This window comes from Homo sapiens, chromosome 9 (genome assembly GCF_000001405.40).
Source record: "Homo sapiens chromosome 9, GRCh38.p14 Primary Assembly".
NCBI lineage: Eukaryota > Metazoa > Chordata > Mammalia > Primates > Hominidae > Homo > Homo sapiens.
This window is the reverse complement of record NC_000009.12, coordinates 92455499-92482824: the sequence shown is the minus strand read 5'-3', so window position 1 is coordinate 92482824 and position 27326 is coordinate 92455499. Positions and strand designations below refer to the sequence as shown.

At 38.3% G+C, this 27326-nt stretch overlaps 2 protein-coding genes across 6 annotated transcripts in view; one reads left to right on the top strand and one right to left on the bottom strand.

Annotated features, from left to right (window-relative positions):
- The window catches only part of CENPP (centromere protein P), a 295062-nt gene that overhangs the window by 137705 nt on the left and 130031 nt on the right, over positions 1-27326 (bottom strand). The window lies entirely within an intron of this gene.
- On the top strand, positions 319-26620 carry ASPN (asporin). 2 transcript variants are annotated; one of them, NM_017680.6, is given in 8 exon segments: positions 319-532; positions 7898-8201; positions 12044-12156; positions 16254-16467; positions 17796-17906; positions 22258-22351; positions 23055-23193; positions 25340-26620. In NM_017680.6, coding segments are annotated over 7 exon segments (1143 nt in total). In that variant the 5' UTR covers positions 319-532; positions 7898-7927; the 3' UTR covers positions 25538-26620.

The following is a 27326-nucleotide window of genomic DNA, read 5'->3' as shown; positions in this document are numbered from 1 at the left end:
GGTATATACTTCAGTAATGTTGGTATCCTTTATTCAGATTGATAAATATTTTATTAGTCTATACAGGTTGAGTAATTTTTGAAATTGTAATTTACAAATATTCATTCACTTAAGAATCTAATATTTTTAAAACTAGGTATTTCTTGAATGACTCCGACTGCACTTTCAATGGCCAGTTGCCATGCATTATTAAACTTTCTTTTTTTTTCTTCTTCAGAATCTTCCAGTAGACGTCTAGAGTTTAGCTAGAAGTCTTGGCTACGATACAAACAGTGATGGAAAACACATGAGCAGTAACAAGTTTTAATCTTGCTCCTCAGTACTAACATGGACTAATCTGTGGGAGCAGTTTATTCCAGTATCACCCAGGGTGCAGCCACACCAGGACTGTGTTGAAGGGTGTTTTTTTTCTTTTAAATGTAATACCTCCTCATCTTTTCTTCTTACACAGTGTCTGAGAACATTTACATTATAGATAAGTAGTACATGGTGGATAACTTCTACTTTTAGGAGGACTACTCTCTTCTGACAGGTATGTTTCATGTCTATCTTACAAGTATCGATGTATACTTTACAGTCAATACTAAGGAGACATTAATGTTATTAATAAATGCTTATAAATAATAGGATAAAGTCCAAAGTTTATCTCTATAATTTCTTAAAAATCAGCATTTAAATACAAACCTAAATTTGTACCTAAAATTATTCTAGTTTTATGTCTTACCTATAATGAATGTATTTTAAATATAATTATGTGACTTTTTTTTTCAGCTAAGTGAAAACCTGTCATTATGCCTTACCATAAATGTTAACATGATTGATTTTAAAAGTCATCTAAATAAACATCTTGTATGTTTATCTAGGAAAATAACATTGCTATAATAATGATCATGAAGTTTGGGGATATCACAGCTATATTAAATGAAACAGTAAATATATTTTTCAATATTTAAAATATTTTCTAATGTGTATTTAAAATGTGTGAATTACTGAAATGTCAATTTTACTTATACATTTGAATATTCATTTTTTTCCTTGATAAATGTCTTCCTTATTATAATGAAATGGCACTGAAAAGTTCAAATGGAAATCTATTCAATTCCAAGAAAGAATACTTATCAGCAATAGTTTAGCTAGCACTATATTCAATATGAAAGATTAGGAAATTTTCACAGCATGTATACAGTCAGAATTTAACACTTTCAAAGATTTCCTTTGTCTACTCCCAAAGTAAATTTCTGATTAAATTTTAGATTAAAAAATTTAAGCAATGTATTCAATATTCTACTCCCTAGTAATCTAAATAGCGCACAGCATTCTTTCATGTTAATCTATTCAGAGGTGTGGCACCCAGGAAACAGTGGCCACATGGTGTAGGGACTGAGTCATAAAGAACCTGAGGGGGTTGTATTTCCCTAAAAATAAAGTTGTTTAAATCCAAGAATCAAGCTGTTAAAAGAAAGAAATGAAAAAAGAAAGAAAAATCGAGCACAAGCCCACACACATAAAAGGATCCTGATGTTTTTAGTTTGTTTTTTGGCATTAAGGAGTATAGTGTAGTAGTGGAAAGAACAGAGGATATATAGTCTTCTGTTACAACTAACTACTCAATTAAAAACAAATATTCTGATAACTGATCTGAGGTTTGAGACAAAAACAATTAACTTTACAAGCACAAGTCTTGAGGCACTGTGGGAAACATCATAAAAATGGAGAGGCAGTAGATTTTGTTTTTTAAGACAGTAGCTTGATTGCTAGACATGTGGAGAAATTAATGAAGGGCAAAATTAGTATAAAAGGAAGAACAGCTAGAATGCTTTGTCAGAATGCTAGTTATACTTCTAAGGTAAAATTAACTACTTTTTAAGGAAAGTGCTATCTTTATCAGTATCCATGAACAAATGGTACTGTGAATAAGTTTCCAAATGCATGTTGGACTTTTAACTCATTTGTTAGCTTACAAGACTATGCCTTGATTACATCTGAATTTGGTTTGGATTCCTTCGGTGAAATATATGGAGTATGTTATATCACATTTATATGCTGAAATCTGCTACTGGTACCTGTGAACTGATAGGCATGTTTAAACCCAGGGGAAAAGTTGCCAAGCGGGCCTTTAAACATGGGATTTAAAAGCACAGTGACTTATTTACCTAATAATAGTGTCTGAGAGGAAATACCATTTCACTTAGATAAACTTTCTAAGTTTGTAGACCAGTTAAATGGAAACAAGAAAGCTTATGTGCTTCTTAAGCTTTATTTCCAGTCCATATGTTATGAACTCTTTTAAGAACTTGGCCAAACCTCCTTACCTAGGCTTTTCCAGAGGAAAGTCTGTTTACTGTCTGGAAGTAACTATGAGATTAAAATCCATTTAGGAGGACATGCAGTCTAGTGCAAAGCACAACCAACAAGCAGTGAGGAAGCCAGCCCTCAGCTCCACCACCTCCAGCCAGTTCTGGACGCTCACTGCCTCTGCTTTTTCTCAGTAAAAGAGGGCCATGGGGGGAAAGTCTCAAAGACCTCTCTTAGCTCTAGGCTACTATGATTTATTAGTAATAGCAGTAGCACTGGAAGAATACTCCAAACACTACTCTGATTAAGAGAGACTTGAAACCAAAATCCAAAGCTTTCCATGAGTGGAAAACACTGGCAAAACTGGTCTAAATCAGGGAAATATTGAGTATTCCTGAGAAGAAGATTTAATATTTTTAAAGGGTTTAAAAATAGAGTAACCTGAATACTGCCAAAACTAATAAAACAGAGGTTGTACCTCATTAATAAACTCAAAATAAAACAGCCAAAAGTCATATCATTTTAAATGACATATAATATTCTCTACATTCTTTCTGAATAATAAGAAAAAAATACTGCTATCTAGGGTTCTCTCCTAGACATTCCATTATTTTCCTATTGGTAAACAGTTGCACACTGAACTGGGGGAGGTTTAGGACCTATACTTGATTGTACTTATTAACAAAGCAGTGGAAGAGACCCAGCAAGAGACTCAGGTAAAGAGTGTAAATAATGAATTCCTCATGGTATCAAGGTTGGCCTGACTTTTTTCTTTGCAAGCAACCAGGATACACAAATGCAAAAGATTAGATTAATTGTAAAAGGCTAACAGAAGACAGAACTAGCAGAGAGAAATGAATTTTCCAGAAGGCATTTTTGAGTTTCCATATAAAGACTTTCCTAACAGCCATGGATGGACAACTGTGGAAGATGCTGCCTTGAGGTAGTATCCTCTCCCTGGAGCTATTCAAGCAGGGTGGATATGCTCCCTGTTCCAGAATGTTCTGGAACCTTCACCACCAGGAGGAACTCCTGTTTCAAAGGTCTTCATCTCTTATTCTCCAGGAAAGGGCCTAACTACTATATAAAAGTGGCTGCCTCCACTGCTCAGCAACTGGAATGCTTCCCAACAGCTAAAGATAATGCTACTGCCTAAAACTTGCAGGCAGAAGTCTCCATTTCATATTTTAATTTTACCGCAGTTTTGATTAAAGGCAGGGAGGGTCTCCTGTAACTTATCAGTCTCAGAAAGAGGAGAGACAAAGGAAGGGGCCCCGGCTGATGCTTCTCCTGATGCCACTGGGGGACTGGTCAGCAGCCCTGAGGCAGGGATGTGGAAAAAAGCAGGACCACTACTGTTCTGCTCCCTGCCTTCCCTGCCCTGTGTGCCTTCTCCTTCTCCTCTCAACTCTCAGTTCTGCTCCTCATACCTGATCCAGTTCCTCATCTCGAACCTCAGCTCAGTACTGGGGAAGCCTCTCTTGACGGTGGCACGAGGCTGAAGGCATCTGGGAAACCATTACGTGGTGTGCAAAGGAGCTGAGGCCAGTCCTTGCTCCCGCTGCCAGGCCACAAGGAACACCACGATGTGTTCTTGGCACCCCACTTTGGATCTCTAACACATTCCTGGTGTTTTACTTTTTTTTTTTAAGTTCCATAGTTTTTTTGTTTCTACATTTTGGATATATTATCTGTTAAATAGGTTTTTCCGGTCCAGACTGGGAATCTAAAGCCCATTTGGTTCAAAGATTCTATGGGAAAAAACTTAAACTAAAACATTCAGGCTGGGTGCAGTGGCTCACACAGTGGCACACTTTGGGAGGCCGAGATGGGTGGATCGCTTAAGGTCAGGAGTTCAAGACCTGCCTGGCCAACATGGTGAAACCCCATCTCTACAAAAATATAAAAAATTAGCCAGGCATGATGGCACATGCCTGTAATCCCAGCTACTTGAAGGCTGAGGTGGGAGGATCACTTGAACCTGGGACGTGGAGGTTGCAGTGAGCCAAGATGGCGCAACTGTACTCCAGCCTGGGCGACAAAGTGAGACTCCATCTCGAACAAACAAACAAACAAAAAACCCCAAAAAAACAAACAAAAAAGCACAATCAACCAACTTAAAAAATAACCTTGTCAAAATCTTCATTTCCCATTGACCAGAACAAATAGGATTAAGCCTCAAGAAATTGTGAACCCCAAAACAATTTCCCAAGTAGGTGCTATTGTTTGACTTTTGGGTAGAAATAGATGAGAATAGTGTGTATGAGAAACCTTTGATTACACCAATTCCTACCAAAAGTGGTAGGAAAAGACAGCAGTATATGCAGAAATAAAGCAAAGAAAATTCTGTTGGCGGACTGACATTTAAAATATTTTAAAAGCAACATAATTAAGAAACTATGCATGGGAAGAAAAAAAAAATGCTTTGCTTATAATCCCATTATCCCTCTTACCAGGTTTGTACATTCTATTTCAATCTTTTTTTCATGTGAATATATGTTTTTATAAATGTCTTTAGTTCTATTGGTCTCAAACAGTAAACTGAGGGTTATGCGTAGACAGACACGGTGAAGAATTTTACTTTCAAAGCTCTGGGTACCACACATCTAGTGTTAAAGCCCTACACCCCTGTTCCTACCCCATAAGTCACAGTATATACAGTTTACATTGTCTATTTACTAATCCAGGCATTTTATTTTTTAGTTTTTCTATTAATGTACCTGACATTCAAGTGTTAACTTTACGATCTCGTATTACCTGACAGTAGTTGATTAGGAGTTGCGGGTTTTTTATTTTTGAGTAGGGAAGTGTGGGAGAGAAGAGGATGGGGAGGAAGGTGTGCTCTACTTTAAGAAATTCAGCATTCTGACGAGTGACACTGCATGGGGTACAGTGGGTGCTTGGTAAATGCCCACTGAATAACTCCAGCAACCTCAAAGAAAGCCAGAAACAGGACCTTAAATGACATTATAATTCTATAGCTCCTTGTTGCCAAGGTCAGACAAGGTCAAGGGCAGCTATGCACCTAGAAGACAGAGCTGTAATGCAAGAATGTTACAGAATAAACTGGAATCAGGGGCCAACTTTGATTTAGCTAAGGACCAAGAGCTGAATTTTCTAGGGAATGAGTATTTTGAAGGTTGAGGCAAAGCTGGGCACTAAACCTTAAGGAGTCAGGAGCCACACAACAGCCCTAAGTCAAAACACATAATGAGTCAAAGTTAGACAGACAGCAAAGGCACAGAGACAATGTGCCAGGGACAAAGTGATATTGAGAAGGAAGCCCCCAGTAACCTTTACCAGGACCCCATACAGCATTCACAGGATGACTGGAATACGAAACATCAACCTGCCTGCCAGCAGGGACACCCCATGCCTGCTACAGAACAGTAGTCAGCCACAGTTGGTGATTTCCACCTGGGGCTCTCCAAAAGAAGCCACTGAACCCTGTGTTGCCAGCACAATCTCTCACCCAGTACTACACAAATCTGATCACACAATCATTCTGTTCTCTACCTTCCAATCCAAGCTACACAGGTGCTTCTTTATGTACAGATGTGTACAGAACAGTAATTTGTATACTGGTTAGATAAGAAAAAATGACAGAGTATGCCCATGAAGCCACGAGATTTCTGGATAAAACAACTGAGTCCCCCCACATGAGCTGGAGCAGAAGGCAGCACAGAACAGGGAGTTGGGACACATGAGCCCTAGCTCTGGCTCCATTTATATTTGGTAGGTGACTTTGGGCAAGTCACTTAAGCTCTTTACGCCTCATTTCCTATGAGGGATGAGTCTAGAATAACATCTGAATTAACACCTCCACAAAGTAGTGTACAGATGGGAGGCTAGGGCTAGTTTTGAAATTGGAATCAGCATAGGATTATTAAAATATAAAAAACTCTTGCCATTCTCAGATCTGTCCTGTAACCTCCTTCCTAGCATAAGTTAGTGTGGATTATCACAGGAATATCACACATACCTGACCAGTGCCATCCAGCTACCCAGTGGGCAAATGTTCATGCCACCATTTAGATTTTTGGAGCATATGAGAAATTAAATAAAGTAATTATCAGGTTAATAACTAATGACAGTAGGACATTCTAGCCCTCGTCTGGTGATTAAAAAAGACATACCATATATAAATGAAGATATTTATTAAGTTAATGAATTCATTCTTGATTTTTAAATCCAGGAAAAAGCAGGCCCATGGAGAGATGTTAAAGCTGATTTTTTGGTTCTGGGAAATTGCAACCAGTTGGGATTTGGAGGGGTAGGTCTTCCCGAGGCTGGGCCAATCCTGGCTGACTATAGAAGTCTTTTGCAGCTCAGCTGCTCTCTGGCACTCGGGCAATGGCAGGCCTGGAGGACTATTTAGGTGACTGTAGCCTGGTGGACTATTAGGGTCTGCGGAGCCCTCTGCTGTGGTGGTGAGTGGATGCCCTCCTGCCAGGACTCAGTTTCACCAGTGAGCATCTCTAGGATGCATCTATTTTGAATAATTTCATAATGTTTTTAATTTTTGAAATTTTCAAAGAATATACACATTTCACAGGTAATAATTTAAAAATTAGGATATGTAAATATGGCAATAAATCTATGCTCTGAAGGTTCTCATTTGTATAGTTCTGTTTTGTGTGCATTTTAAAAATGCAACTGAAAACAACCTGGCCCCCCAAAAACAAAACAAGCAAACCGAACTCAGTGGAAAGATGAGTAAGAAAGAATAGTCTGGACATCAGACAGTTTGGATCAAATATTAGACAATGGAACAGATTAGAAGGAAAAAGATACCAATTGTGGAAAAAGTGACCAACTATGAGAGTGAGGTTGGGAAAGGTGGAGAGAAATCAGTTAAGGAAAAATTCCAGATGTTGTCTAAGGAGACAATGAAGATATTCCTCCTTCAGGGACACTGAATACATTAAGGCAATAGAAAGATTTTGGGAATACAGAGTTAGGTAAGATAATCTGTTTCTGTTTTTACGATGTTTATTAGCTTTTTCATTATAAAGGTAATACTCATTGCTCATTATGAAAGTTAAAGGAAAAAGGAAAACACAAGTCATCTATGGTTCTAGTGCCCAGAGTTTATCATCAATCAGGTATATTCCTGCCAGGTTTGTTTTTGTTTGTTTATGAGTGTTTGTAAGTATACAGTTTATGGATTTTTTATATTTGCTTTTTTTTATTTCACAAAAGATAATATCCCATATTTAAAAGTGTCTTTGCAAGCATTTTGTGGGTTCCAAAATATTTCATGGAATAAATATACTCTTTTATTTTACTATTCCCCTTTAACCATTATATAATTGTCTCAAATATTTCTGCTATTATAATTCTGTGATGAACATCTTTGTGCACTTTAGAAATGTTTCCTGAGACTAGATTTTAAAAAGTAGAATTACTATCTGAAAAAGAGATATTTTTAGAGTTCCCAATGCACATTGCTGAATTGCTTTCCAAAAATCTTTATAAATTTACTCTCAGATTAGCTAAGCAATGGATTAAAATGCCATTTCATTGCACTCTTGCCAGAACTGAGAAATGTATATATGCAGGAATTATATCCATTTAAATTTAATATCCCATGTCTGTTTAGTCCTAGACTGGTCTTCTACACTAAGACACCATGAAGGAGTATGTGCTCCTATTATTCCTGGCTTTGTGCTCTGCCAAACCCTTCTTTAGCCCTTCACACATCGCACTGAAGAATATGATGCTGAAGGATATGGAAGACACAGATGATGATGATGATGATGATGATGATGATGATGATGATGATGAGGACAACTCTCTTTTTCCAACAAGAGAGCCAAGAAGCCATTTTTTTCCATTTGATCTGTTTCCAATGTGTCCATTTGGATGTCAGTGCTATTCACGAGTTGTACATTGCTCAGATTTAGGTAAGAATATAAGTCGATTTTGTTTTGAAGAATAGTAATGCTATTCTGACAATTTAAAGGATGGAAAAAGTCTCATTGAAATTTCAAAAATAATCTGAGTGTATAAGTTTTTTTCATTTAAGTTTTTAGGTGGAAAGTACAGCAAACCCCAAAGTACATCCAAACTTATTTTTAAAATTAAGAAAATCAAAGGAAAACTAAGGGAATGTTGTCCATAGAACATTTCCTTCTCTTCCCCAGTTAAATCAAAGCATTTAATTTTAATTCCCTTCAGAGAGAATGGACATCACATGCAGTTCTATCTCAGGGTGCTAGCAGGTTGAGACTGTACTTTTCAGTAAAACTCCATGATAACAAAATAAGCTGCATGTCTAGAACAATGAAATGAGTTATAGAAAGCTTGTGAAATCTCTAATCTAGACCTTTTAAAGATAATGCTTTATTTGCTTTTTAGCAATTTGGGTTTAAAACTGCCTAAGAAAAAAGTGGATAAAGTCTTTTTAAAATTTATAATTCTTTGCTGAGTATTTTATTTCTTTAATACTTCTAATGAAGGAGCACTCAAGAGCACAGCCATGTCCCGTTCAAGGACGGGACTTAATGGGAATGCATATCAAGAGTTGTTGCCTTCAGCTATTTCCAAGAGGGGACAGCTGAGACTGGCCCCACTGTGGAGGCCAAGGTCTGGCACACAACTCCCACTCAGGGGCTGATGGCCCATCAGGGTCACTTCATGAGTCTGTATGAGCAGATGTCTTGAAAAGCATTAGACGTGCTTCCTACTGCCATAGCATTCATGGCAAGAGTTAAAGCTTACAATAATCTACTCTAGAGACCTTAATGAAGTTTGTCATTATATGACAAAATGAGAGGCAAACAAAAAGCATTCAGAAAAAGGGGAGACTAATACGAGCTAGACTTACTAGTAAAGTCTAATGAAATAGGCTAGGAAAAAAAATGGGTCTTAAGCTTTACCTGTGGAATTCTCATGAGAAAGAGATTAAGATGCAAGTACTGTTTGAGAAAACTTGTTCATGTAGAACGACTGTGGAAACAGCATCAGGAACAAGAAATGCAGAAGCTGAGACAGATGCTGGGTGTGAGAAGAGGTTAGTTAGGGAATATGAGAATGTACTATTGTACTAAACTGCATCTCAGACAAGAAAAAACGTTACCTACCATCAGTTTGCAAAGTGGGTGCATGTTAAAGCACTTTGTAAGTCAAAATTCCAGATAAAAATATGTGTATCTGCTATGACTCCACCAGATGTAAACTGGGTTAGTTCTGGGTAAGATGGTGAATAAGGACACATTTATCTTTAGTGCAGACCACCCCCACGTGCTGGCCTCCATATGTGCCACGGCAGAGCAGTCATATGCTTCCAACATGAAGACCCTGCATGAGACATTGCATAAAACTACTCCAGAACACACTTGTCACCAAAGACTTGAGAAGCCCAAGCTACCTCATGGCAGGAAGCTGGTGTTCCCATCACACACAGTCTCCCAAACATTTAGCTTTGAAAAAACTCTAGTAAACAAAATCCACCTAAGAATATCTGTGACAGTCAGACATGCCATCAGCATGCTGCTGCACCCATCCTACCTCCCCCAAAACGTGACCATAAAAAGGGTCTGGGCACTTATCACTCTTCCTCCCTCAGGAGATGAAACTCTTCAGAACTTCAGTTTTAACAGGGGCAGGGCAGGAGTAGGTTTGTCAAAATCTGTGCTACCAGGAGGATCCCTTCTGCAGAACCTCCAGCTTCCTATAAGACTTCCACTTCATTTTCTAAAACCAAAATAATATCCTGTGTTCATAAAAATGGCAAAATTAATCTATTCTAACAAACAAAACTGCACCCTACCTTGCTAATTCATCAAGTTACCCCCCTTCTTCTTCCCATATAGGGTTAAATTTCTTAAGAAAGTATCAATTTTATTTTAGTATTATTATTATTTTTTTGAGACAGAGTCTTGCTCTGTCACCCAGGCTGGAGTACAATGGCGCGATCTCGGCTCACTGCAACTTCCGTCTCCTGGGTTCAAGCGATTTTCCTGCTTCAGCCTCCTGAGTAGCTGGGATTAAAGGCGCACACCACCATGCCTGGCTAATTTTTATATTTTTAGTAGAGACGAGGTTTTACCATGTTGGCCAGGATGGTCTTGATCTCCTGACCTCATGATCCACCCGACTCGGCCTCCGAAAGTGCTGGGATTATAGGCGTGAGCCACCGCGCCCAGCCTATTTTTTTATTTTTATTTTTGAGACAGAGTCTCACTCTGTCACCCAGGCTGGAGTGCAGTGGCACTATCTTGGCTCACTGCAACCTCTGCCTCCTGGGTTCAAGCGATTCTCCTGACTCAGCCTCCCGAGTAGCTGGGACTACAGGCACGTGTAACAATGCCCAGCTAATTTTTGTATTCTTAGTAGAGACGGGGTTTCTTTCACCATGTTGGCCAGGCTGGTCTTACAACTCCTGACCTTAAGTGACCCACCCACCTCGGCCTCCCAAAGTGCTGGGATTACAGGCGTAAGGCACCATGCCTGACCAATTTTAAAGTATAGAAAGGAAAAGTACATAGAGCTGTAGGATAGAATGTTGATATTCAAATACTAGATTTTCAATTCTTCAATTTTTGGCTATTAAATGTATGACTACACTTCAGGAGTGAGGACGGTTCTATCAAAAGTGTACTGACATCTAGGCCAAGGCAGGCATCTCGCTTGAGTCCAGGAGTTCGAGACTAGCCTGGCCAACATGGCGAAACGCTGTGTCTAGTAAAAATACAACAATTAGCCAGGCATGGTGGTACACATCCTAGCTACTCGGGAGGCTAAGGCAGAAGAATCACTAGAACCCAGGAGGTGGAGGTTGCAGTGAGCCGAGATGGCGCCACTGCACTCCAGCCGGGGCGACAGAGCAAGACTGTCTCAAGTTAAAAAAAAAAAAAAAAAGAATAATATATGAATCAGTATGTGGAAATCAAAGAATTTACAACTAATTAGAGAAGTTAATTACTTAAAGGAAATGGGTGGTAAAGTTTTTGGTAATATACATGAAAAAAATCTAATTTTTCCATTTTCTAAACACAACTATCTAAGGCTTCTTAAAATGATCAAGACCCGGCTGGGTGCGGTGGCTCACGACTGTAATACCAGCACTTTGGGAGGCCCAGTCAGGCGAATCACGAGGTCAGGAGTCTGAGACCAGCCTGACCAACATGGGGAAACCTCGTCTCTACTAAAAATACAAAAATTAGCCAGGCGTGGTGGCACACACCTGTAATCCCAGCTACTCAGGAGGCTGAGGCAGGAGAACTGCTGGAACCCGGGAGGCCGAGGTTGCAGTGAGCCAAGATCATGCCACTGCACTCCAGCCTGGGCAACAGAGCGAGACTCCATCTCAAAAAAAAAAAAAAAGAAAGAAAAATTATCAAGACCCATATGCTCCAATTTAGCACTATAACAGCCTGAAAATTTGCAAAGAAAGCTAACATTCCTCAGCCAAAGGTACATCAACAGAAGCTGCACCTCAGTGGTTGGTCACCTTCTCACAGCCACTAAGGCCACTCCAATTTATCTCCTTTTATTCCACCTTAGAGGGGATGAGTAGTGACAACTATACCAATCTAGACACCTTGTAAAAATTAATAAGTTACTCAAAAAGGTCCTGAGGTCTTCCCCCAAAACAATGTTTTTTTTGTCATCTGTTATGACTGTTAAGTCATCTGTAACTTGATGATAATCATGGGTTTTAAAAAATGTATATTTCTACCATATTAGTAATCTCATCTTCAGCATGATTCTCTATTATATAATATGTTTGTTTCTTTCTAAGGTTTGACCTCAGTCCCAACCAACATTCCATTTGATACTCGAATGCTTGATCTTCAAAACAATAAAATTAAGGAAATCAAAGAAAATGATTTTAAAGGACTCACTTCACTTTATGTAAGAATATATCCTCATACTTTCAAAGATTTAAGTGAAAACTCTGTATCTTTGCTATAATGATTAATTATACTATGTTAGTATAAACAAGTCTTACTTTTCTGTAAAGAATGACAAAAATCCCTGCATTCAACAGCGTTCTAGTCAATTAAAAATTATAGATTTCATTCAATTAATAGTCTAATTCAATGGATGTTTATTAAATAATAGCCATGTAAAATGTAGTGGGCTGAGTTTAATGGTCCTCAAATAAGCTTACAATCTATTCAGGTAGTAACAGTCACTATACATTAAAATGAACAAGAAAACAATTACTTACAGCAATCATTAGCAAACAGTGTAAGAAATCTCTACCCAAACGTGTTAAGACACCACAAATCTCTAACAGCAGCACACAGAATATATCTGATTGATTAATATATACATGTATGGCTTATTTATTGGATCTTTAAAGAAGAAAAGAATTTTTTCTTTACTGTATTAGTATCATTTTAATATTCTAGGATTTAAAAGATTACTACTTCCATGTTTAACATTTTGGGCTGGGTGTGGTGGCTCATGCCTATAATCCCAGCACTTTGGGAGGCCAAGGCGGGCGGATCACTTGAGCCCAAGAGTTCGAGATCAGCCTGGGCAACACAACAAGACTCCACCTCTATAAAAAATACAAAATTAGTTGGCATGGTGGTGGTGCACGTAGTCTTAGCCAAGAGGTAGAGGTTGCAGTGAGCTGTGACTATGCCACTGCACTCTAGCCTGGGTGACACAGTAAGACCCTGTCTTAAAAACAAAAACAAACCAAAAAAATCATTTCGAAGTCTCCAGATTTTAGCAAGTAAAATTTCTGATTTAGTCTGAAATTGGGTTTGGAGGAGCACCTCATTTCCCCCGCCACCGCCTCCCCTCAGCACAGCTCCTGCCTCGCTGACTCTGGCATGGTGTTAGAGGAAGAGCTCTGGTTCTGTATCATCTGAGGTGGTAAGCCAGGCCTGGCTATTCCAGGCCATTTCCCCACACTCTCAGGCTGTGCTGGAGAAAACAAATTTAAAGTCTGTCATCTCTAGATAAGATAAAACTAAGAGAACAGGGTAGAAAATACCATAACAATATTAGCCCCTTGCTACCATGCAGGCCTGGCCTGTTCCTGTGTCTGAGAGATGTGGGGTCACCATGCCTCCCTGTCACCCTGGGTCAGTGCAGTGGACCCTGCTGGCCCATCTCTTCCTCCCTGTCACCCTGGGATTGAGGACATGCATGCTGATCATACTTAAGGCAGACTGAGGGATGCTCAATCCTTGCATCAAGCCTCCCTACAAAATCCAGCTCTCACACTGCCCGGTCAGGTAGCCAGCACCTTGTCTGCTCTTTTCACTTTCAAAGTGTGCAGGCAGCTCAGATCTGGTAAGCCTCCATTATCAATATAAAAGAGCAACTAGAAGAGCATATATTTATAAGTTAGGTCTCACTAAAACATTAAGACAGTCAGAAATGACACAATGGATTCCACCGAGGATCCACCCAGTCCACCCCACTAACTTTAGGCCACAGAATCTTTTGGAGAATGGCAGGCCATTATTCCACCAACAGAAGTTGGAAATATAGCCTGTTGATGCGTTTACCACTTCTTCAACCCCTTTTCAGCTTAGATAACCACAAGAATAATAACTAATGGCATATTTAATACTGGGGCTATGAAAGTTTTAAATTCATCATATCATTATTTTATTACATTTTAGGAGCATTCCAGGGACTTAGTCCATACTTATTCTTGTTATTCACAGGGAAATGAGAAACTAAATGGTATCAGGAGCTTTCTTAGACCTACTTGATTTCCTTTGAGAAATGCATGTCAGGTGTAGAGCAATGGAGGGAAAGCCCCCAGCTGTTAAGTAGTATTACTGCCAAGCTACTATTAGCAGACTGACCAGGTGTACTGATGTAAATCACTTTTTAAAGTACATGCTTTATACTTGAATTGTAGGTATACCACACAATTACAAAACATTTATATAATTATAGTATCACCTTATATGGTACCTGTCTTTTAAGAGAATCAAACTATTTTTTAGACATTCTACAAATTCTCTGTGTTAAGTTTTAGCTGCTTGTTTGGCACTTGGGTTCTTACACAAAGGATGATACAGTCAGAGCAAAATCACTGAACACAATCACAGCCCTCCCAGCTCACTTCCAGCCATTATGAGACACATGTGGCATGAATCACTGTCCTACTACTGAATGGCTATGCTCTTCTCATCTTCTGTCCTTACACTGTTTGTTAATGATGAATTGGAAGCTCTGTGATAATCAAGCCAGCACTGAGAGTGCAGTTTAACTGGATCACTCAGCCAGCTCACCATGCAGGGCAGGCAGTCCACCATGTGGCGCGGCTCTTACCAGTGCTGCACAAAACCTCTTACACAGTTTTGTATTACTTTTCCTTCCTTTTATGCAGTTCCAACAACTGCATGTTTTAATTAGGAAAAACAAACTAATAAAAGCCCAGTGCACTAGACTTGGATCTCACTGACGCACAGGTTCACTTTGTGGTGGGGCCTCTCTAACCCTCACTTGTTGCATGGCATAGGCAAGTCACCTTTCTTCACTTTACGCATTTCCTCATCACTAAAAGGAGAGTAATAATTCCTGCTAAATTTACCTCTTGGAATCAAGAGAGGATTCACAAACCATCTTGATGATCCACCAAGTTGTTAAATTCCCCTCACCTCATTTTTCAGTGTAACCAAAGGAAAAGAGAAGATACTTTTAGTTGGCATCACACACTCACAAACGAGGATATTTTACCAGTTGGTAACAAAATGTAGTTTCACCTCTTCTCCTAGGCTTACCCTTTCTTGGTGAAACTTTTAGCAATAGTGATATATCTGGAATTTCCAGAGGGTGAGAAAAGGAAAGCACAAAGGGCCAAGAGTGAGATGAGGAAACGTGCAGATACAAGTTTACTGAGCAACCAAAATGTGTATTTCTGCCATGGAAAAACAACAACAATATGAGTAATACCAGTGAGGCATATTAAACAAAGGGAGATTTTTGTGAAATGAATTTGAGAACAAAATCATAAAATGAATGAATCTAGAGCTGCTCCTTGAGAAAATCAGATGACCTGGATTGGTAAAGAGGGACAAAAAGGTCCTGAAGACGCTTAGTGGCCTGTCATCATTCTTGGTAAACACAGAAATTCTCTTTGAACAATCTGGCAAAGAGTAAAGAACTGAGCTATGCTCATTTTGCAATGAAAATCCTTATCAGAGTTACCAACATGTCCCAGTTTGCCTAGGACATTCCCAGTTTGGGTTCTGAAATCCCCACATCCCATAATCTCATGATCTGGGCAGACTGAGATGGCTGGTCACCCAAGCAGCCATGCACCCTTGGACATGTTGCAAAAGACTTGTGCAGAGAGCACACTCACACTGGTACGAGCTCTTTTTACTCTCTGGAGTTATTAGACCTCCTCTGGAGGATGCTGTCTTATTGCCCTGAGAAATACCCAAAAAACTGATAAGAGATTGAGTCATTTCTCAGGATCCATTACTATATCCCCAATATCTAAAATATGCCAGAATGCTGAGGGCACATGGTAGGATTTTTTTCCTTACAGGCCTCTGTTCTGGGAGAAATGGTAAACATTAGTAAATATGAAAGAAATGAGGTTTTCAAAGTAGACAAAATCATGCAAAAGTATATTTGGTGTGCACTAAACATAGTTTTGTAGAGTAAATAGATTTTAAGATAAGATAAAGATAATATCACTGGTCACTTCCCTGAAGGGAAATAGGAGGCTGAGTAGAGGTTGAAGGCTTAGCCATATGAAAGTATTATCTATTCAAAGATTAAAAAGATGCACTTCTATCTAAACCAATGGCACAACATTAATTATTATAGCTCTGCACTTTTCTAACTCAGTAGTAAAATTTTTTTAAAAGCTTAGATTGGGCTGGGAAAGTTTTTACATGGGTGATCTAGTACACCACTGATATAAATTGTACTGATTTCCATCATTGGCTAATCACTGTAGAATACTGGTAAATCAAATCCACTTCCTAATATTGTGTAACTTTCTATGCTTGATCAAGGGTCTGATCCTGAACAACAACAAGCTAACGAAGATTCACCCAAAAGCCTTTCTAACCACAAAGAAGTTGCGAAGGCTGTATCTGTCCCACAATCAACTAAGTGAAATACCACTTAATCTTCCCAAATCATTAGCAGAACTCAGAATTCATGAAAATAAAGTTAAGAAAATACAAAAGGACACATTCAAAGGAATGAATGCTTTACACGTTTTGGGTAAGTTTTTCAAATGAATGGGACATCTTGAAATTATAACAAACAAGCAGATGTAGAACACTTTATCGTCACTATTAAGAATAATTTCCAAAATTAATTTTTGAATAATCTTTGCCTAGATAAGCCATTTATAAACCAATTAAAATGTCCAACAAAATGTTTAGCACTTAAAGAAAATATGATCTTCGTAATACTGTCTCTCTCTCCCTGAAGAACCTCCTTTGAGGCCAGGCCTGGTGGCTCACGCTTGTAATCCCAACACTTTGGGAGGCCAAGGCGGGCGGATCTCCTAAGGTCAGGAGTTTGAGACTAGCCTGGCCAACATAGTAAAACCCTGTCTCTACTAAAAATACAAAAATTAGCCGGGTGTGGTGACAGGTGCCTGTAATCTCAGCTACTCGGGAGGCTTAGGCAGGAGAATTGCTTGAACCCAGGAGGCAGGGGTTGCAGTGAGCCGAGATTGCGCCACTGCACTCCAGCCTGGGTGACAGAATGAAACTCCATCTCAAAAAAAAAAAAAAGAACCTCCTTTGAAACACTTAGCGTGGTTTCTGTTTCTGACCAGACCCTAATAAAATATAACTTATTATTTAATTTAAAGGTAGTATTTTTAATGTATTGCATAAGCTACTCAAATATAATACACAAAATTAGTTTGGATATTATTTGGAATGTGCACCTAACATTTGGTTATCTGCTTTAAGATTATCGATGTGAGGAATTTTTTGTCTTATATTTAAAACTCTACCTGATTTTATTTCTGACACCTATCATATAACCATGCCATCTCCCTATAATATCCATTCAAAATTCATAACCAAGATACTAATTCATTTATTCATTTAATTCAACCAAGTGCCTGGCCTCACTTACTGGCATTTCTTCAAGGTTATATTTCTGCTAACAAAACAACAATTTCTAATTGACTTACAATTTAAAAAAAGTTTAAGACACAAAAATGTACACAGAAAAACATAAACATTTTGGATTATATGAAGGATGATCTTTTTTGATGCACTATTACAATAACAAAACCTTAATTGTGCTCATGGTTGGAGGAGAGTGAAAATGTCACTGATATGGTAATTCAAAGTGAAAAATAGTGAACTTCTCATATATTCCAGTTTACATAATACAAAGCCGTATTTTTCTGATGCTGACAGAAAGGACAGTAGATAGACAGAAGCAGATATACCGAGTGAAAATGAGCCTAAAGGATGAAGCTCACGCTTCTTGGGATATTCATTCTTGGGATGTGTCTCTCTGCACTGTGAGTTTCCTTTATATACAACCTATGTGTGCTAAGTCATGTCATTCTCCCCTGACAGAAATGAGTGCAAACCCTCTTGATAATAATGGGATAGAGCCAGGGGCATTTGAAGGGGTGACGGTGTTCCATATCAGAATTGCAGAAGCAAAACTGACCTCAGTTCCTAAAGGTTTGTATTTACTTTATCTAAGATATGGTATTTTAAAGTTGTCACCTTTCAATAACGATTCAATCTAATATTGTAAACTGTGCAGTATACACTGCAACTAGAAATCTTTGCACCAGTAAATCTGGTCAATATAGTCTACACACACATAAAATGCCATATGTAGTGCCTTTTTCCTGACAGAATTAAGCCACAATTTTTTTTACTCCACTAAGAATAAACATTAAGAAGCAATGAACTTTTAGTTTTCCTTCTCTTTCCTGACATTTACTCATTTATACCTGTCATTCTGTGCAGTACCTGTTAGAGGTAGAGAATTCTATACAGAAGAAAGCAGAGAAAGATAGATGGGGCAAGAGACCCTGTCCCCAGGCATTTAGCCACAGTTTGAGGTGAAGCCTATGAGCCCAGACTGGGCAGCCCCTGGCTCTGGCAGGAATGGACATGCCATTCAAGGCAAGGCATTTTGTACCCAGCTTCTTCCCAGGTGTACTGTGAAGACTAATGGGCCAATACACAGAAAGGTCTGAGGACAACATCCAGCACGTAGGAAGTGACCACCTGTGACATAATCATTACCAAGATGAGCACTGTGCTCTTTATCATGGCTTTGTGTGACCCAAGGCTAGCACCTCAAGTAGAATGCTCCTTAAGTCTGCCAGATGACCAGTGTTCTAACCCATTACTTCCAAGCTCCCTGTCTGATGATTAGCTGCATAGGATTGCCTTTCTTGGAACTCTTGCTCAAAGTCTTGCTTTCCTTATTCCCAACAAGGGCACATGCTCTCTTTGCTTTGATGACTAACTGGGCCAAAAATAACCCCTATGATTAACAACATATTTTTACTTTCCAACAGCTCCGTCTTTCAGTATCCATGAGTTAAAGCAGCAACTTCATCACGACCCCCTCTAATCTACTCACCTGATCCAGAAGATCAATAAAACAAACATATACAGATAATTTAAAAGACACAGTAAAGCTGTTATTATTAATCAAGAGGTGACCTTTCACTTAGGTCACCTAAAGATCATCTAAAGTAAAAGAGGAAAAATAACTTTTCTATCCAGGAAAACAACAGTTTAATTCAGAACTATACAAATCCAAAAAAACACCTCAGTGTAGCTTTAAAGGAGGTGGATGTTTTTCTACAAGAAACCAAAAATGTTACATTTACCTTCCCATTTTAGAAAAACAACAAAAAATGCAAATGCTACCCAATAAGTTAAACATATAAAATCCCTTTCATCTGCTGGAAGATAACATCCAGTAAAGGAGAGTGAAGACAAGGAAAAGAGGAAGGTAGAGGGAGGAGAGGAGGACAGCCTACAGGGCTGGAGGAGGGAGCTGCTGTTCCAGGCCACATCTCCTGACATGGCCATTCTTTATGTTCACACCAAAAGTCTTTCCTACACTGCAAAATTCTATTTAAATTTCAAAGTGTATCTTAAAAGTAAAGGTTTAACTTCTCATGAGTTTTCAAGATTCTTTCAAAGCCAAAAGGAATCTTTAGAAATTTAAATTGGAATCAAATCTCTCAACTTAAATAACTATTCCTTCAAATCCCCTTGACATTCAGAATTCACTAACCTGTGAAAGCTGACTGCCTGCATGGCATAATCCAGTCAGTATTACCCCCTGTGGCAAGATGAAAGGATGCAGGTATCCTGAGGGTCCTTACCAGACCCAACAAGTTATCATGTGGACAGGATGAAAATGTCTTCTTTCCTATTCGTTCAGGAAGTTCTACTGCATAATATTATGTGGGGAAGAGGGGAGACCTGTTTGAAGACAGGGTGGGAACAGAAATTCCGGTACAAAAGTGTGCTAACATTTGTCAGCAGTTACTGAGCTTCTGCCAAATTCACACCTCTGCTCGTTTTATCCTAGAGGCTACACTTCAATCTTCTCTCTGGTTACCCACCTTCCCCATTTCCTAAGGGACACAACAGTTCCCTCAACTTCTACAAGTCCTCTCCCAGAGATTATTCTCTTCCAACTTTGTACAACCTATTCTAGATTCGCTGGCACGTTGCACCAGCTATTTTTCTAGTGATTTTTGTATGTATGATGGATCTGCTCTAAATTAGCAAATAATGTCTTTGAGGACAGAACCTTTACCTTACATACTGGAGGGTCCACATAATCATTCCATAAATACAATTAAGCTCAATTAATCAAAATTCAAGAAATTAGAACCTTCTCAGTTTAGAAGAATTATTTTTCTGCTCCCTAGTTTATTTATTTTAAAATTCAAAATAGATTCTGTTATCAAAATAAATTCAGTCATGGAAACTATTATTGCTATTCATAAAGATGTTTCAATTATCTTCATCCGTCTTTATTGCTAATATAGAAGGGAAATATTTCATCAAGACTTGAAAAAAGGAGAGCATTTTCCAGCTAGCTAACCAGATACTTGGGTTGACAAATAATACTTTGTATATAGGGCTAACAAAATGAGGTTTGATGGAATCTTCTGGTCAGTCCCTTTCATTCCAGCTTCAGTTCATTTGGGGAGAGTGGGGGTCAGGATATGCCCCGTTGAGAAGAGAAAGAACGATTATTCACTGGGCACCTGCCATGTGCGGGGGTACTACAGATACACTTAGCTTACACAAAAACTACTGCTAATTGAAAGAATAGAGCCAGGCACAGTGGCTCATGCCTGTAATCCCAGCATTTTGGGAGGCCAAGGTAGGCGGATCGCTTGAGGTCAGGAGTTCAAGACCAGTCTGGCCAATATGGTAAAACCCCATGTCTATCAAAAATGCAAAAATTAGCTGGGCATGGTGGTGCACACCTGTAGTCCCAGCTACTTGGGAGGCTGAGGCAAGAGAATCAGTTGAACCTGGGAGGCGGAGGCTGCAGTGAGCCAAGACTGCGCTACTACACTCCAGCCTGGGTGACAGAGTGAGACCCTGCCACAAAAAAGAAAAGAAAAGAAAAGAAAGAATAAATACTGCAATGACCTGAACATATCAAATAGGGTAAAAATCCGTGTTTATAATGGTGTTTTAAAAAAAACACAAAAAACCTTAACTGGTCACCTCTGGGCATTGCATGAATTCATTACTTGAATGAATCAAGTTTTGCTGCCTTTTCTATAAAAACAATCTTACAAAGTAACTAAATAATTAATGAAAGAAAATTCTTTAGAGAAGAATTCCAGCTAATAAATCCATCAAGAATGACATCAGGAAGTCACCATTTTCCAATTCCTAATGACAGAATGGATCTAGGCAACAATCGTGCATGAATGCTAAGACCCTCAGGTGAAAGGCTGATTTGCTTTTATCTGAATGTCTCTCTGCATCTGACTACCAGGGCATAGGAAGAAGTTAAAGGATCCTGATAAATGATATCACATGGAAGCTGTCAGCCAAATCCACAAAAGGAGTGTCTCAAACAAATTAATATGGAAATAAATCAAAAGAAGAGGGAGAAAAAAGGAGGGAGTATGTTGTACATTAAGAGAGATTTCAAGAGCGATAAGAACCAAATGTATTCTGTAAACTTCATTTAATCCTAACTTGAACAAATCAACTGTAAAATGACGTATTTGAGACAAGTGGGGAAACTTTACTATATTAGATGACAGTAAAGAATGTATTAATCTTGTTAGATGTGATATTAACAGGGTGGTTATGTTAAAAAACAAAAAACAAAAAACAAGATGACCTTATCAGTTAGAGACATCTAATTGAAGAATTTATAGAAGAAATGACATTATGTATAAGATTTGACTTTAAATACTCCAGCAAAAGAAATATGGCAAAATAAAAATAGATAAACAGATCAATAAATAATTAAGAGTAGATAAAACAAGATAGGAAAAATGGAGATAACTGTTGAAGCTGAGCATGGTGGTTCATAATACTAGTTACTATTTTATGAATGGTTACAATTTTACCATAATAAGAAGTTAATAAAAAGTAGGTACCAGGCTGGGTGTGGTGGCTCACGCCTGTAATCCCAGCACTTTAGGAGGCCGAGGGGGGTGGATCACCTGAGGTCAGAAGTTTGAAACCAACCTGGCCAACATGGTGAAACCCCATCTCTACTAAAAAGTACAAAAAATTAGCCAGGTATGGTGGTGCATACCTGTTATCTCAGCTACTCAGGAGGCTGAGGCCGAAGAACTGCTTGAACCCAGGAGATGGAGGTTGCAGTAAGCTGATATCACGGCACTGCACTCCAGTCTGGGCAACAAGAGTGAAACTCTGTCTCAAAGAAAAAAAAGAGTTAGTGCCTAAAAAGTTGCCTAAATCCATAATCTGAAACTTGAAAAGTAAACAAATAGTCAATTGGGCTTAGTGATACTTGACTTAACATATATATTTCTCTTCTTATTAGGCTTACCACCAACTTTATTGGAGCTTCACTTAGATTATAATAAAATTTCAACAGTGGAACTTGAGGATTTTAAACGATACAAAGAACTACAAAGGTAAACGTTCCCAAAATTTTAACTTAGAATGATACCTCCTGGAGAATGTGCACAGGGACCCTGGTAGAGATCACTGTCTGTTTAGCCAGTTGCTGTTGGAACTGGAGAGTGTGAAGGGAAAACTAGAAAGAACCACAATTGGCCGGGTGTGGTGGCTCACGCCTGTAATCCCAGCACTTTGGGAGGCCAAGGCGGGCAGATCCCGAGGTCAGGAGTTCGAGACCAGTCTGGCTAACATGGTAAAACCCCATCTCTACTAAAAAATACGAAAATTAGCCAGGCATGGTGGAGGGCGCCTGTAATCCCAGCTACTCGGGAGGCTGAGGTTGCAGTGAGCCAAGACTGTGCCACTGCACTCCAGCCTGGGCATGGGCAACAGAGCGAGACTCCATCTTAAAAAAAAAAAAAAAAAAAAAAGAACCACCGTTATTACCACCTCTGCTGATAGGGGCGAATCAAGTGAAAAGAAGAAAATGACTTTTCAAATTTCCCTTTTGTTAAATTTAGGTCAAAGAATTTTCTGACAAAACTGGAAGATAGTTGTTACATACTGAAGTAGGTTATTAAATAAAGTAATGAAATATCTTTGAACATATATATAAATAGGACAGGCTTATATTCTAACTAGTTTGCGGTGTTTTCAGCTAACTCTATCACACCTAACCATCTGTGTAAGACTTGATGCATTTTATATCATTTTTAGGCTGGGCCTAGGAAACAACAAAATCACAGATATCGAAAATGGGAGTCTTGCTAACATACCACGTGTGAGAGAAATACATTTGGAAAACAATAAACTAAAAAAAATCCCTTCAGGATTACCAGAGTTGAAATACCTCCAGGTAAAACATTCTACTTGTGTTCAGTAGATATTGGTATTTTTCTTCAGTTTTTATAACACACTTTAGCACACCTCAAGCAAAGACCAAGTAAGCAGCAAGGGTGATTCAAACATAATGACTCTCCAGGTTGCATGAGGTGTTTTAAGAAGTAGGAGAGCTTTAGGAGAATGGTTTCTACATCGACGTCACAAGAAAGCTCAGGATCCATTTCCATCTTTTGGTTTCTCCTGTTGAAACTGCTGAGGACATTGCGGCAAAGCCGCTGGCACAGTTAATTTCAGATTTTAGGGCAGGGGTGGCTACGCAGAGGCAGGACTGGTCAGGAGGACATGGAGCAGTGTCACGTGTCCTTTTGATCTGGAAACATTTCTCAAGGCAGAGCAAGAGGATTAGGCTCCTGGTATTTTCGCTTTCAGTGTGGTGCTAGGATAGACATGTATATTTTTTTTTAAACATTCCAACCAGAATACAGTATATAACCAATTTAAAGTCACCATCTGGAGCATCATGAGTTCCCATTTTGTTGTTTGTTTTTATTCATTATTAGAAATCTTTTCCTTCTATTTGACAACTCTTAACTGGCTGGAAGGGGCCACAGATTCCTTGGAGAATCTAATAAAGATTTAGATCTTCCCAAGAACAAAAGTTTTCATCTTCCAAGGAGCTTGAGAACAAAACTGGGCAACAAGCCACTCTGCCTCTTCTCTTTTTCTTTCCGGTGTATCTTTAAACAAGTTTCGTTCACTGTACTCCTTTGAGATACAAACCATCAAAATGAATGTAATATAGGCAGGTGCTAATCTCAAGATCACAACTTTTGCTTTGACTTTTCCAAATGCTGCATTTGGATGTCTGTTTAGCCAGTGACTACAACTTGAGTCCGTCCTCTCTCAAGCTGCCCCATCCCTGATGTCATTTCTGCTTAATTTGCTCCACAACTCTGCTTCCAGCTTCTGGTCTCTCTTAAATCTACCTATACTCTTGCTAGCATTAATTAAATGAATAGAATTATAACACAAACAGAAGAACACATGTCATAAGCATATATTTCAATGAATGTCCACAAAGTAAACACACTGATGTCCAGCAGGTTTTCATTCCCAGTGAGATCAGTACTATGGTAAACTATACCTTGCACTTATATTGAGCAGCTGGGGGACTGAACACCAAACTTAAATGTTTTAGCAATGCCTAGAATTTTCATGATTGGTCTCATATCAGTCTTACTAAGACATAAAGGCAGAATCTAGAGGTAACAACAGCCAGGGAGGATATCCCACGTTGGCCAGCAAAAGACTTCTGCTCTTCAGTACACAAAAATGCTGTCAGTTAAGTAGATTGCTTTTATTTCCCAGAAATCTCACTGTTACCAAAAAAGGCCAAAGAAGAAATTAGAAGGGCTGTTAAAGGGAATGAGGGAAAGTTCCTCTATTTACCATACTTTTTGAGTAAGAATTTAATTTAAAAAGACATGTACACGGCCTGTAAAATTGTGACTTGTCCACTGGTGTACATAAGATCAAGTGATTTCAATTATTGATGCTATATTACAATTCTGCATTTAGGATGTTGATAGATCTTTCTACAAAACAACTTAGAAAAATTCTCCTTTGGTCACAGAAAATGCTAGCTAATAATTCTTCACAATCAAATTGTGAGCCTAATTCTTAGAGCATTAAATTTCATTCTTCTGATCATTTCTAATGTTTTAAATGCATTATTGTAAATATGGCACTGAAGTAACCATATATATACACATAAATATGTATATTTAAAAATATGTATGTTTATAAAAGTAAACATTACGCATGTATGTATTTATGTATATATGTATGTATGTACGTATGTATGTATCTATCTATCTATCTGGAGAGAGAGAGAGACAGCGACCCATGTGACCAGGCAGTATGCTCTGGGCCCTGGCGGGAGTCCTTCCCCAACACTTTTGTGTACAACACATGAGCTTGAGTTTTTATAATAGGTATTTAACATGCATAAGTGAGTACATCTACTTTACCTGAAAATACATTCAAGCCAATGTAAAATAAACAGATGAATAAACCCACAAACAAATGGCGACTACAGAGTATCTTCCGTTTACATTTACTGGGTATTTTTAATCCTTTCTTTTTTCCTACTACAACAGATAATCTTCCTTCATTCTAATTCAATTGCAAGAGTGGGAGTAAATGACTTCTGTCCAACAGTGCCAAAGATGAAGAAATCTTTATACAGTGCAATAAGTTTATTCAACAACCCGGTGAAATACTGGGAAATGCAACCTGCAACATTTCGTTGTGTTTTGAGCAGAATGAGCGTTCAGCTTGGGAACTTTGGAATGTAATAATTAGTAATTGGTAATGTCCATTTAATATAAGATTCAAAAATCCCTACATTTGGAATACTTGAACTCTATTAATAATGGTAGTATTATATATACAAGCAAATATCTATTCTCAAGTGGTAAGTCCACTGACTTATTTTATGACAAGAAATTTCAACGGAATTTTGCCAAACTATTGATACATAAGGGTTGAGAGAAACAAGCATCTATTGCAGTTTCTTTTTGCGTACAAATGATCTTACATAAATCTCATGCTTGACCATTCCTTTCTTCATAACAAAAAAGTAAGATATTCGGTATTTAACACTTTGTTATCAAGCATATTTTAAAAAGAACTGTACTGTAAATGGAATGCTTGACTTAGCAAAATTTGTGCTCTTTCATTTGCTGTTAGAAAAACAGAATTAACAAAGACAGTAATGTGAAGAGTGCATTACACTATTCTTATTCTTTAGTAACTTGGGTAGTACTGTAATATTTTTAATCATCTTAAAGTATGATTTGATATAATCTTATTGAAATTACCTTATCATGTCTTAGAGCCCGTCTTTATGTTTAAAACTAATTTCTTAAAATAAAGCCTTCAGTAAATGTTCATTACCAACTTGATAAATGCTACTCATAAGAGCTGGTTTGGGGCTATAGCATATGCTTTTTTTTTTTTAATTATTACCTGATTTAAAAATCTCTGTAAAAACGTGTAGTGTTTCATAAAATCTGTAACTCGCATTTTAATGATCCGCTATTATAAGCTTTTAATAGCATGAAAATTGTTAGGCTATATAACATTGCCACTTCAACTCTAAGGAATATTTTTGAGATATCCCTTTGGAAGACCTTGCTTGGAAGAGCCTGGACACTAACAATTCTACACCAAATTGTCTCTTCAAATACGTATGGACTGGATAACTCTGAGAAACACATCTAGTATAACTGAATAAGCAGAGCATCAAATTAAACAGACAGAAACCGAAAGCTCTATATAAATGCTCAGAGTTCTTTATGTATTTCTTATTGGCATTCAACATATGTAAAATCAGAAAACAGGGAAATTTTCATTAAAAATATTGGTTTGAAATAAAATATTTGTGCTTTGATGTTATTTTTCTTCACCCACCCAGCAATATAAACTATTCTTCAGAAAACTCTAATCTATATATAACATGTTTAGAGCAGTATTAATGTCAATTATTATTACTTTTTGTTTTGTTTTGAGATGGAATCTCGCCCTGTAGCCCAGGCTGGATGGAGTGCAGTGGCCTGATCTTGGCTCACTGCAACCTCCGCCTCCTGGGTTCAAGCGATTCTCCTGCTCCAGCCTCCCAAATAGCTGGGATTACAGGCACATGCCACCATGCCCAGCTAATTTTTTGTATCTTTAGTAGAGACGGGGTTTCACCATGTTGGCCAGGCTAGTCTCGAACTCCTGACCTCGTGATCTGCCCGCCTCTGCCTCCCAAAGTGCTGGGATTACAGGCGTGAGCCACTGAGCCTGGCCTAATGTAAATTCTTAATAACAATAATACATGTTATTAATACATATAATAATAACAATACACCATGTAATTCCTATGCTATGAAAGATAATCACCTTTATATTAAGCTACATCAAAAACAAGATTTTAAATAACTTGGGGGCGAGGGGGAAAGAACAACATTACAGATATACAAGAGATGGAGGTTTGGATTTCGAGGTTAAGAATGGGTAAATAAAGTCTTATTCTTCACAGTGGAGTTACTCAACTTTGGCTCCCTTGACATTTTGGGCCAGGTCATTCTTTGCGGCAGG